Source organism: Homo sapiens, chromosome 15 (assembly GCF_000001405.40).
Source record: "Homo sapiens chromosome 15, GRCh38.p14 Primary Assembly".
Classification (NCBI taxonomy): domain Eukaryota; kingdom Metazoa; phylum Chordata; class Mammalia; order Primates; family Hominidae; genus Homo; species Homo sapiens.
The window spans coordinates 49495189-49509506 of NC_000015.10; the positions used below are offsets into that span (position 1 = coordinate 49495189).

The 14318-nt window shown below is 36.3% G+C and overlaps 1 protein-coding gene across 28 annotated transcripts in view; it reads right to left on the reverse strand.

Moving 5' to 3' along the window:
- FAM227B (family with sequence similarity 227 member B) overlaps positions 1-14318 on the reverse strand; it is a 293849-nt gene that overhangs the window by 168219 nt on the left and 111312 nt on the right. For all 28 annotated transcript variants that reach the window (XM_047432224.1, XM_047432222.1, XM_047432221.1 and 25 more), the window contains one exon: positions 13023-13160. In XM_047432224.1, coding sequence (XP_047288180.1) covers positions 13023-13160 — 138 coding nt within the window. The remainder of the gene's footprint in view (positions 1-13022; positions 13161-14318) is intronic.

Here is a 14318-nt window from a genome sequence, read left to right on the forward strand (position 1 = left end):
GAGGTATTTGCAGGCGATCTTATGGTAGACATGGAAAATTATCTTGGAAGTTAAATAACTTGAAATTGCTTGGTGAGCATGGCATCAAAGCAAAAGGAGAGAAAACAGGTTTGAAATATACATATTCTCCAAATAATGATGAAATCTAACTCATAATAATCTGAATAGTTCCGTTAAATTTCTACCAAATTTCCGGTTCTTTGGGCTACTCTGTGCCTTATGTTATTCACTCTGCTTCTGTTCATATAGTCTTTCTCTACACAGTATAAAATACAACTAACAACAATATGACTTAACAAATTGCTACCACTTTGGGAGTTTGTATGTCTGACCATATTAATAGCATATTTCTGGGGTTTCCTCACTCCTTAGCTGTGCAAATTTCTTGGTTTTCTTTTAATGATGTATAATGAAAAGCATAATGTGGAAATTTTACTGGCTTAGTTCTCAAAGTGCTATTTTATATCCTACTTCTAATGGTTTCTTTTTTATTATCCCTGAGCATTGCTAATAGTGAAGAGGTAGCAAAATTAGAGGTGCAAACTAAAATCCGGGCCGGGCATGGTGGCTCGTGCTTTAATCCCAGCACTTTGGGAGGCAAAGGTGGGCAAATCACTTGAGGTCAGGAGTTTGAGACCAGTCTGGCCCACATGGAGAATCCCTGTCTCTACTAAAAATACAAAAATTAGCTGAGTGTCGTGGTGCATGCCTGTAGTCCCAGCTACTTGGGAGACTGAGGCAGAAGAACTGCTTGAACCCGGGAGGCAGAGGTTGCAGTGAGCCAAGATCCCACCACTGCACTTCAGCCTGGGTGACAGAGCGAGACTCTGTCTTGAAAAATAAAATAAATAAAATAAATAAATAAATAATAAAATCCAAGTAGCTCTTTATAACATATGGAATCCTAAAGCATCTGGCTATTACTTTAAATATTTCTGTAACATGTCATTTGCTAAATATCACCTAGTACTTGTGTATGAGTAACTACTGTGTTTCTTTTTATTTTTTATCTCCTTACAGTGCCAAGTACAGTAATGTGTACTAGGTACATAAAAGTACATGATAGTTAAATATAAGGATTTTTCTTATTGCTTGCGGTTTAAGCTACAGTTTATAAAAAGAATGAGACTTGTTATTGTTTTAGCTTTAAAATCCAACAAAGAGAAAAAACTGAATTTAGAAATTGGGGGAGAGGTATAAAAATAGTTTTTAAAAATGATCTTTATTTGAGTTCAAAAGCTTAAATGGTATTGTACCACAATAAAGAAATTAACATTAAAATTTTAGTCTTGTAAATAATCTAACAATACACTGCTTAAGAGGAGCTGGCTTATAAATCATGAGTCATTCCAGATACTGAAATTCTATAACTGCTTACATTCCAGTCCTAAAAAGGGAGATATCATGACATTTTGTTTGGAAGGCAAATTTTAACTATCCACTGTGTGTTTATTTCATTAAAAACAAAACAGAAAGTCCTCTTTGTAAAATTCTGGAAAAAAGTTAACTCCACATTACAATAAGCATCTCAAATGTCGAAAAAAATTATGTTTTAAATATGTTTTAGATTAGAAGAAGCAATCCTAAGACAGCAGTATATATGGAATACAGAATATTTCTTTTAAGTCATATATATGTATATGCATGCATATGTACATATACTAATGTTTTACCCTAGTTCTGCTCTTTATCTGCCTTAGCCTTCCTCCAGCACACAGAATAAGGTTTTAGTATACACAAAGTCACACACACACACACACACACACACACAGCTATAGAGAAAGAGGAGTTCTCAAATCATGAATCCTAAACCACCAGTCTCTATTACTAATTACACCTGAACAGTCAGCAATCACTTTGGAAGATTATTCAGCACCTATGGATAGAAGTCTTTAAAGAACAAAATGCTGGAAAAGGGGAATATAGAAATATTCTACTCACCTCATTTTTCAGTTGTAAAAATAAAGCTCAGAGGGGTTGTATGACCTGCTCAAAGACATTCAAGTTCTTTATGTGCAAGTTGAATACATTAGAGCAGATGAAACATTAGGGACTATAGTATAGGAAAGCCTCCAAACAAAAGCATACTTATGGCACCAGTAAATACATGATCTGAATCTTATGTTCAGAGAATTCTCCACAATGATGACTGTGTCCAGACTGGGGGTAAGGTACACAGAAACTGTAAAGCAACAAGCAGGATATGGAAGCTCTCAGATACCATGAGCCAAGCCCCTTTGCAATGATTTCCTATAGGATAGGAATGTTTCAGTTTCTCACCGTCAATCCATACCCTGCTCTGCCATCAAGGACAAAATCAATGAGTTGGGGGAGGCACTCACTGACCACTAACTGATATAAAAACACAGAAGATAGTTTTAAAAGTAGATTAAAGCTCTGGAGAAATATGAGATGCTCAAAGTTCAAAAAAGAAACTCATAAATTTGAACAAACTTCTTTCTTAAGTAGATTTCCTAGTAGTCACAATCTAAGCAGAAGATTATAGAAAAAATACCTCTTTAGTGATCTTTACCTCTTTGAAATGTTACAACAACTTCTCTTTTAATTCCACCATCAAAAACAGCGGTGTGTGGTAGACATGTAATTCTCAATGGAGGCTGTGTTTCTTTTAGAGGTTTAGAAATTCTGGCCCATTGTTGCCATTGTGCCTCTGCACCACTTTGGCCCCAAAGTGTGAATTTTCCAAGTCCCCTAACCATTGCTTGCTATTTCTAGAGAAATTCGTACACGAAACTGGAAAACAAGTAAATTTTTGTCCAGTCTTCTGCTACCTTTCTGGCCTTTCTACTAGCATCTTTCCTCATTCACCCTCATCTATTAAAATTTAATCCAGGAAAAGACCTAAAAACTCATTCACATTTGCCATAAATGAAGTATTAAGGCTATGGTAACTCTCATAAGTTACAATACTTATTCTACAATGATAATTTTAAGCCTTAATTTAATTATAAGCCTGTAAAATCAAATGACTGATAGGCAGTACGTGAAGTGGTTATGAGTTCAGACTCTGTGGCCAAAATTTCTTGAATTTCAATTTATAGTCTAGCACTGATCAGTTATGTGGCTTTAGGAAAATTACTTAATCAACTTATATTGTGGTTTTGTCACTTATAAAAATGAAGATGATAATAAAAGTCACCTGTCACATAAAAGGATTACTCATTTATGAGAGTAAGGCAGTTAATAGAGCCTTAGCTCTCTTAAGTTAACACACTTTATCAAGTACATATTTCAAACTGAAGATTTTCCCAGGTTGAACATGAACTATTAAATTAAAATTTGAGCAATGAATTAAAAGAAACAGCCACTATAACTTGGCCCTTGCTCCCACAGCTTAGACCATCTCATCCAGAAACAAAAATATCTTGTCACGTTTTAGCGTCAGATATAAAAAGCGTATTTCAAATATTTAGAGATAAATAAAATATATAATACACTTTCAAGCTTTTTAAAAGGCACAGAGTGCCAAGTTGAAAAAAGAATCAAGACCCAATAGTCTGCTATCTTCAAGAGACCCATCTCATGTGAAATGACACCCATAGACTCAAAATAAAGGGATGGAAAAGGATCTGTCAGCCAAATGGAAAACAAAAAGAGCAAGGGTTGCTATTCTTATATCAGACAAAACAGACTTTAAAACAACAATAATCAAAAAGGACAAAGAAGGGCATTACAGGCCGGGCGCGGTGGCTCACGCCTGTAATCCCAGCACTTTGGGAGGCCGAGGCGGGCGGATCACGAGGTCAGGAGATCGAGACCATCCCGGCTAAAACGGTGAAACCCCGTCTCTACTAAAAATACAAAAAATTAGCCGGGCGTAGTGGCGGGCGCCTGTAGTCCCAGCTACTTGGGAGGCTGAGGCAGGAGAATGGCGTGAACCCGGGAGGCGGAGCTTGCAGTGAGCCGAGATCCCGCCACTGCACTCCAGCCTGGGCGACAGAGCGAGACTCCGTCTCAAAAAAAAAAAAAAAAAAAAAAAAAGAAGGGCATTACATAATGATAAAGTATTCAATACAACAAAAAGACTTAACTGTCCTAAATATACATGCACCCAACAAAAATGCAAAATAAAAAGTTTTTTCCTATATAGCAGCATGAATAATCAAAATTGAAAATTTAAAATGCCATGTATAATTGGAAAAAGATGTGTCTGTATAGTAAAAACTAGAAAACATTGCTGAGAAAAATTAAAGAAGTATTATATAAATATAGGCATATTCTATGTTTGTGAACTGACAAACTCACTTTGTTAAGATACCAATTCTCCCCAAATTGATCAATACAATGTATTTAAAATAAAGATGCCCGAGTATATATTTTAGAAACTGACTAGCAGTTTTTCAAATTTATATGGAAATGACAAGAATCTAGAATAACCAAAATAATTGTGTAAAAGAAGCGCAAACTTGGAGGACTTATAGTACCTAACTTCAAGATACATTATAAAACTACAGTTTTAAAGGTAGCTGGTTATTGGCATCAGTGGAACAGAATACAGAGAACAGACATAAACCAATATGTATGGTCAATTGATTTCCAAGATAATTCGATGAGGAGAGGATAATCTTTTCAACAAATGGTGCTAAAGCAATATGCAAAGAAGTGATTCTTAATGTTTATACATATAATTAAGAAAAATTACTCAAAATGAATTAGAGACCTAAAAGTAAGAGCTACAACTCTGAACTATAAAGCTACATACTATAAAATTTCCATGTGAAATTGGGTTCACAAATATTATTAAATAGAATGCAAAAAGCACAAACTATATTAAAAAATTGATAAATGGGTTTCTTCTAATTATAAACTTTTGTTTTTTAAAAGATGTTATTAAGAAATGAAAGGGCAAGCAACATACTGGGAGAAAATATTTGTAAAATATGTATCTGAAAAAGGACCTGTTTCTAAATACATGAATAACTTTTTTCTAGGCTGCAGTGAATTATGATCATGGCACTGTATTCCAGCCTGGGTGACAGAACAAGATCCTGTCTTTAAAAACGAACTAACTAAATAAATAAGCATAAAATATATAAAGACCTCTTATAACTCAATAAGAAGACAAACAACTCAAATAAAAATGGCCAAGATATTTGAACAGACACTTCAGCAGGCACTCAATAACCTGTGAGAGCAGCTGTGGGGGCAGAACCCCACAAAGCCACAGGGGTGAAGCTGCCCAAGGCCTTTGGTGCCCATCCTTTGCACCAGTGTGCCCTAGATGTGGGACATAAAGTCAAAGGAGGTTATTTTGGAGCTTTAAGATACATGGATGGCAAATAAGCACATGAAAAGAAGCTCATCATGATTGATCATCAGAGAAATTAAAATAAAACCTAGCTAAATACCAGTATATAACTCACGAGAATAGCTAAAATTAAAAAGACCATAACAAGTGTTAGTAAGGAAGTAAATATAACTTGTATACTGGTAGAAATGTAAAATTTCGGATAAGAGATTGACAATTTCTTAAAATGTTATACATACGTGATATAGTTTGGATATCTACCCCCAACCAAATCTCATGTTGAAATGTAATCCCCAATGTTGGATGTGGGGCCTGGTGGGAGGTGGCTGGATCATGGGGGCAGATCCCTCAAGAATGGCTGGGGCCATTCCCTTGGTGGTAAGTGAGCTCTTGCTCTGAGTTCATATGAGGTCTGCTTGTTTAAAATTGTGTGGCACCTCTGCCCCCCTCTTGCTTGATCCTGCTTTTGCCATGTGACATGCCTGCTCTCCCTTCACCTTCTGCCATGATTGTAAGCTTCCTAAGGCCTCTCTAGAAGCTGAGCAGATGCCAGCACCGTGCTTCCTGTAGAGCATCCAGAACCATGAGCCAATTAAACCTCTTTTTCTTGTAAATTACCTGGTCACGGGTATTCTTTTATAGCAACACAAGCATGAACTAATACAGAAAGTTGGTACCAGGAGTAGGGCATTGCTATAAAGATACCTGAAAATGCAGAAGCAGATTTGGAATTGCATAATGGGCAGAGGCTGGAAGAGTGTGGAAGGCTCAGAAGAAGACAGGAAGATGAGGGAAAGTTCAGAACTTCTTGGAAACTAGTTAAATGGTTGTGGTCAAAATGCTGATACTGATATGGGCAGTGAAGCCCAGGCTGATGAGGTCTCAGATGGAAATAACAAACTTATTGGGAACTGGAGCAAAGGTCATCTGTGTTGTGCCTTAGCAAAGAACTTGGCTGCATTGTTTCCCTGCCCTAGGGATCTGTGAAAGCTTGAACTTCAGAGTGATAATTTAGGGTATCTGGTGGAAGAAATTTCTAGGCAACAGGGTATTCAAGATGTAACCCTGGCTGCTTGCAACAGACGACACTCAGATGCAGGAGCAAAGAAATGATAAATGTGGAACTTATATTTAAACAGGAAGCATAACGTAAAAGGTTAGAAAATTGGCAGCCTAGCCATGTGGCAGAGAAAGAAAAGGCTCTTTTGGAAGAATAATTCAAGTAGGCTTTGTAGCAATGACTTGCTAGAGAAATTTGCATAACAAAAGGGAGCCAAGTGCTAATAACCAAGACAATGGGAAAAAGGCCTTGAAGGCATCCCAGAAATCTAAGACACAGGTCCTCTAGTCACAGGCCCTGAGGCCTAGGAAGACTAAATGGTTTTATGGGTCAGGCCCAGGGACCTGCTGTCCTGCACAGTCTTGGGCCACTGCTCTGTGCATCCCAGCTGCTTCAGTTCTAGCTGGGGCTTTAAAAGGTCCAGGTACAGCTTGAGCTGCCACTTTGGAGAATGCAAGCTATAAAACTTGGCAGCTTCCTCATGGTGTTAAGCCTGTAGGTGCACAGAATGCAAGAGTGAAGATCATTTTGCAGCCTCTGCTTAGATTTGAGGATGTATGAAAAAGCCTGGTTGCCCAAGCAGAAGCCTGCTGCAGGGGCAGAGCCCTCATAGATAACTTTTATTACGGCAGTAAAGAGGGAAAATGTAGGATAAGAGCCCCCACACAGAGTACCCACTGGGGCACTGCCTAGTCGAACTGTGAGAAGGGGGCCACTGCCCTCCAGACCCGAGAACGGTAGATCTACTGGCAGCTTGCACCCTGAATCTGAAAAAGCCACAGACACTCAATAACCTGTGAGAGCAGCTGTGGAGGCAGAACCCCACAAAGCCACAGGGGTGAAGCTGCCCAAGGCCTTTGGTGCCCATCCTTTGCACCAGTGTGCCCTAGATGTGGGACATAAAGTCAAAGGAGGTTATTTTGGAGCTTTAAGATTTAATGACTGCTCTGCCAGGTTTGAACTTGCATTGGGCCTTCAGTTCTTTTCTTTTGGCCGATTTCTCCCTTTTGGAATGGCAATGTTTACCCAATGCCTATACTCCCATCGTATTTTGGAAGTAAGTAACTTGTTTTTGACCTTACAGGCTCATAGGCGGAAGAGACTTGCCTTGTTTTAGATGAGACTTTGGACCTCTGAGTTAATGCTGGAATGAGTTAAGATTTTCGGGGACTGTTGGGAAGGCATGATTGTATTTTGCAATGTGAGAAGGACAAGATTTGGGAGGGGTCAGTGGTGAAATGATATAGTTTGGATATTTGTCCCTGTACAAATCTCATGTTGAAATGTAATCCCCAGTGTTGGAGGTGGGGTCTGGTGGGAAGTGGTTGGATCATGAAGGCAGAGCCCTCATGAATGACTTGGGACATCCCCTTGGTGATAAGTAAGCTCTCACTCTGAGTTAACACAAAATCTGGTTGTTTAAAAGTGTGTGGCACCCCGCATTGCCAAGTCAATCCTAAGCCAAAAGAACAAAGCTGGAGGCATCACGTTACCTGACTTCAAACTATACTACAAGGCTACAGTAACCAAAACAGCATGGTCCTGGTACCAAAACAGAGATATAGATCAATGGAACAGAACAGAGCCCTCAGAAATAATGCCACACATCTATAACTATCTGATCTTTGACAAACCTGACAAAAACAAGAAATGGGGGAAGGATTCCCTGTTTAATAAATGGTGCTGGGAAAACTGGCTAGCCATATGTAGAAAGCTGAAACTGGATCCCTTCCTTACACCTTATAAAAAAATTAATTCAAGATGGATTAAAGACTTAAACGTTAGACCTAAAACTATAAAAACCCTAGAAGAAAACCTAGGCAATATCATTCAGGACATAGGCATGGGCAAGGACTTCATGTCTAAAACACCAAAAGCAATGGCAACAAAAGCCAGAATTGACAATTGAGATCTAATTAAACTAAAGAGCTTCTGCATAGCCAAAGAAACTACCATCACAGTGAACAGGCAACCTACAGAATGGGAGAAAATTTCTGCAATCTACTCATCTGACAAAGGGCTAATATCCAGACTCTACAAAGAACTCAAACAAATTTACAAGAAAAAAACAAACAACCCCATCAAAAAGTGGGCAAAGGATATGAACAGACACTTCGCAAAAGAAGACATTTATGCAGCCAAAAGACACATGAAAAAATGCTCATCATCACTGGCCACCAGAGAAATGCAAATCAAAACCACAATGAGATACCATCTCACACCAGTTAGAATGGTGATCATTAAAAAGTCAGGAAACAACAGGTGCTAGAGAGGATATGGAGAAATAGAAACACGTTTACACTGTTGGTGGGACTGTAAACTAGTTCAACCATTGTGGAAGTCAGTGTGGCGATTCCTCAGGGACCTAGAACTGGAAATACCATTTGACCCAGCCATCCCATTACTGGGTATATACCCAAAGGATTATAAATCATGCTGCTATAAAGACACATGCACACGTATGTTTATTGCGGCACTATTCACAATAGCAAAGACTTGGAGCCAAGCCAAATGTCCAACAATGATAGACTGGATTAAGAAAATGTGGCACATATACACCATGGAATACTATGCAGCCATAAAAAATGATCAGTTCATGTCCTTTGTAGGGACATGGATGAAGACGGAAACCATCATTCTCAGCAAACTATCGCAAGGACAAAAAACCAAACACTGCATGTTCTCACTCATAGGTGGGAATTGAACAATGAGAACACTTGGACACAGGAAGGGGAACATCACACCCCGGGGCCTGTTGTGGGGTGGGGGGAGGGGGGAGGGATAGCATTAGGAGACATACCCAATGTAAATGACGAGTTAATGGGTGCAGCACACCAACATGGCACATGTATACATATGTAACAAACCTGCACGTTGTGCACATGTACCCTAAAACTTAAAGTATAATAAAAAAAAAGAAAAGATCAGATATATATTGTTCATAACTTTGTTACTCAAAGTGTGTGGAACTAGCACCACTCGCGTTCCCTGAAGCCTGCTAGAAATGCAAAATCCCAGGTCCCACCCTAGACCCACTGAACAGAAACTTTTAATAAAATAAAGGTCATTCATGTGCATGTTAAAGTTTAAAAAAAAAAAGTGTGTGGCACCTCCCTTCCACTTTCTCTCACTTGCTGCTTCTTTCACCATGTGATGTGCCTGCTCCCCCTTTGCTTTCTGCCATGACTGTAAACTTCCTGAGGCCTTCCTAGAAGCTGAGCAGATACCAACACCATGCTTTCTGTAAAGCCTGCAGAACCATGAGCCAATTGAGCCTCTTTTTTCCTAAATTACCCAGGTTCAGATATTTATTTATAGCAATGCAAGAATGACCTAATACGTTACATAACCATGCTGCTCTGTCATCCCACTACTAGATGTTTATCAAAGAGAAATAAAATCCTATATCCGAACAAATACTTGTATATAAATGTTCATAGCAGCTGTATTTATAATAGCCAAATACTGAGAACAATACAAATAGCCACCAAAAGATGAATGGATAAACAAATCATATTATATTCCTACTATGGAGGACTACTATTCAGCAATACAAAGGAAGAGATTATTAATACATGTAACAACATGAATGAATCTCAGAATAATTATGTGGAATAAAAAATGTTAGTTGAAAAACAGCATGCACTCTATATAATTTCATTTATGTAAACTTCTAGAAAATTGCATTCTAACCTATAGTGACAAAAATTACATAAATGATTGCCTGTGGGTTGGTGGCAAGAAGGAATTACAAAAAAAGCATAAGGAACTTTTGAGAGAGATAGATGTTTTTTTACCTCGAGTTGTAATGGTTTTACAGATTTATACATACGTCAAAACTCATCAAATTTTACACTTTAAATATATGCAATTTATTGTACACCAATTAGATCTCAAAAAGCTGAAAAAACATGTAATTATTTGAAACAAAAGTCATGACACTATATAATGTGAGGCTATTATTTATGTAGATATATTTGACAATAGCAAAAAAGACACGGGGGTGTATATGTAACTATACTGCTCCAAGGTCCTACATTTTAAGTTAAGTAGGACAATATTAACTTTAGATAGTATTTTGATAATTTAAGAATGCATTTTGCAAGCATTAAAGCAGCCTCAAAAAATACAAAAGTGGTATAGGTAAATAGCCAATAGAGGAATTAAAATAGAATGACAAAAATATTCAATTAACCAAAAGAAGACAGGGAAAACAAAGAACAGATGGGATAAATCTCAAAACAAATAGAAACTAGTAGAAATAAGATTAATCATATCAATAATTACATTAAATGTAAGTGAAGTAACACTTCAAATTAAAGTGAAGAGATTGTCATCCTGAATAAAAAAACAAGACTCAACTACAGATTGTTTACAAAAAGTATATAAGAATATGAACTAGTTATATGTAAAATGATGAGAAAAGATACGATGTGAACCATAAGCATAGGAAAACTGAAGTGTCTATATTAAGATTAAACAAAATGAACTCAAAAAAAGAGAATTATCACAGCTACAAAGGAACATTTTATAATGGTTAAAGGAAAAACCTAATAAAAGTATATTTGCTCAATAATTTAAAAATGGATACAGCAAAAATCAATAACATTAAAGGGAGAAATAGATAATTCTAAAATTATATTTTAATATCCCCTCTGAGTAATTAATAGAACTAAATAAAATATCAATAAAGATATAGAACTAGGGTGAGCAAAATTTTTCTATAAAAAGCAAGTCAGTATTGTAGGATTTTCAGGCCAATGTAGTCTCTGTCACATATTCTTTATTTTGTTTTACGTTTTTGTTTTTTACAACCCTTAAAAATGCAAAAACCATTCTAAGTTCATAGAATGTATAAAAACATGCTACACACCAGATTTAATCCACAGGCTACAGTTAGCTGACTTGATACAGAAGATCTGAATAATACTATTAGCCACCTTGATCTAATTGAGATTTTTTTTAACTGCAGATATACATTCTTCTCAAGTGTACATGGAATGTTCACCAAGACAGACCACATTCTGAACCATAAAACAAGTCTCAACACGTTGCAAAAGATCATACAGAGTATGCCCTCAGACCACAGTAGTTTTTTTTTAATTAGACATCAGTAATTTTAAGATATCTAGAAAGGTCCCAAACATTTGGAAATTAAACAATACTTTTCTAAATAACCCTACTTTGACCTACTAATGGGTCAAAGTAGGAATTACAGTAAATGTTAGAAAATTTTTAATTAAGTGATAAAATACAACATATCTAAATACAACACACTTAAAGCAGTGCTTAGGGAAATTTAATCTTTAATTGCTTATGTGAAAAAAGAAGAAAGAGAATGATTTAAAGAACAAGCAAAATATAAATAATTGGTAGGTAAAGGATATATGGGAGTTGTTAATGCTATTCTTACCACTTTTCTGTTACTTAAAAAGAAAATGGAAAGTTCACAAAATACTCTCAATTTAGTTATTCATATGTGAGGGTGAGAAGTCAAAACAGATAAACAAAATTGGCTCAAGATAGTAGACTATTACTCTTTCTATCAGAAATCCCTAGAAATAGCCCCCCACCCCCCATAACAATATATACGAAGTTTTGGTAAAACACTGAGGATGACAGCAAACAAGAAAATTTCCTGTAACTAATAAAAGATAGAAATCATATTGGATGATATATACTGCGATAAGAATATAGAAAACCACAGTTAAAATAGTGATGCTCTAAATTCAAAATTCTCAGATCTGAAGAAGAATAATTAACTAATTAAATAATTCTAGAATCAGATTAACTAAAGAATAACTTCCCAAAGAGTAGGCTGGGTAGGTTAATTCCTCCTCTTCCTTGGCCTATATCAAGGTATAGGTTAGAAAGGTATTTCCCTCTGCATTAGTGGTTTGTAACATTGCCTGCACATGAAATCATCTGAGGCACTGAGGAACTTTAAACATTACTAAGCCTAGATTCTGATTTAACCAGTCAGACACGAGACCTGAGCATTAGACTTATGTTTGGTATTAAAGAAATAGCATAAACAGGAGAGAAATAAACTCGCCTTACAAAGCTTATTAATGTAGAGTAACTGAGGACTTTGGTCCTGGCACAAGAATTTGGACGTGGCTCAAAGGAACAGAAAAGAATATTAAAATGTAAATGAATTGGTATTTCAAGTAGGCTCTAAGTGGACTATTTAATAAACGGATCATTTGGAAAAAAAAAACCCATCATATTGGAATACAACTATGCTGTTTATAACAAAGAGTTAAATTTATATGGAAATTTAAAAATACTAGAAAAATACAGGTAGGTATTTTTATAATCTTAGTTAAGTCTTCACAAACACACCACAAAACTGAAACCCTAAAGAAAACATAATTTAAATGAACAAAATAAAAAATGTAAATTTATCTATAGAGACAATACATATTAACCAGTTAGCAATACAAGTAAAAGTGAGAATATATGTAGTATACATAAAGACAAAAAGGATAAACATTTTAAAAAATCATTATTTTGTAACAGGCAAATGGAAAAAGGACTTAAGTGTGTACCACTATAACATCAATCTATAAATCAAATGTTATTTTAAGGCCCTCACCAAAAACATAAATCATTAGAAAATTCTGCCTAATAAATAAATTAATTGATTTTTGCTACCTATTCCATTTGGCAGTATACAGAAACTTTACTTACTAGTTGATATATGTTCTTGACTGTCTGCAATTCTTTCCTTTACTGATTTTGCAGGTGCTTTTTTGCTACCATGAATGGTGGTTGTGGAGAGTTCTTTCAGTTTCCAGTGGATCCAAAAGCCTTTTTGAGGTTTTAAACCTGTTAATATAAAATACATATTTAGCCAAATAAATTTGGATTTTGAAAATACCTTTTAATTTGTCAAAGCATTTTTATGATAATTATACATTTCATCCTCACAACAAAAAAGTTCCTTTTTTGTTCCTTTTAAGCTGCGTAGGATTAGATAAGTCATCTAACCACTCTAAACATCTGTATCCTCAGCAATAAAAATGAGAATAACATAAATTATTTTGAAATATATGTTACAGTGTTGGTAAATGGGAAAGTATGACACAAATATGAACTAATATTATTATTAATATTATATGTTAACAATAATTATGACTATAACATGCTCATAAATGTAGCCAATATTTTCTCAGCGGTGAGTGTTCAATGAGGGTTATTCACTAGACTGAGCCATCAAATTGTAATTTTCTAAATGTTTTTAGATACAGTTATCACTTATTTAGCAGACTTCAGTTTGATTCACTTGAGTGCTTCTAGATAGATTGCCTATGTTTTAAAATATTGTGCATTAATAGAAAAATTGAAGTATAGTAAGGCCAACAGATCAGCAGATTGCGTTTATAAAGATGGTTTATTACTCACAGTTCCCAAGAGTAGGGGGATGTCATGCCACAGGGGGCCACATGGGCAAGCCCTGGGGCCAGTCAGGAGGCAGAGAAAGAGGGGAGAACTGTGGGGGAGAGTCTTTATTGTGCTTTCCTTAGGAAGGAAGAGGCAAGGCAAGAAGGCCTATGATTGACTAGTTTAAATAATTTCAGTAGGCTTTAGTGCATAGGAGCTACCCCTATCTGGTACCTAGTCCTGGGATGATTTGGGCAGGTGGATAGTGACCCAGAGTGTAACAGCCAAATAAAGGAAATGGTTGTGTGTGACCTCTGAATTGGTTGGTTTGTTTAAAAATCAAAAAGCATTTAAAAAACATGCTCATGGGCAAGTTGCCTCTAGGAATTAACTAACCCTAGGAAGTGCAGTCCTTCTAGGGTCATCAAGGTCCCAGATGTCAAAGTATCAGAATATAGAAAATAAAATACATGGTTAATACTGTCCAGTATTGCATAAACCCTACTTGGTCCTGATATATAAAGAGAGAGAGGGATTACTATGTACCAAACTATGTGCTTGACACAAGGGGCGCAAAAGTCATTTCAATCTAGTCCCTGTCTG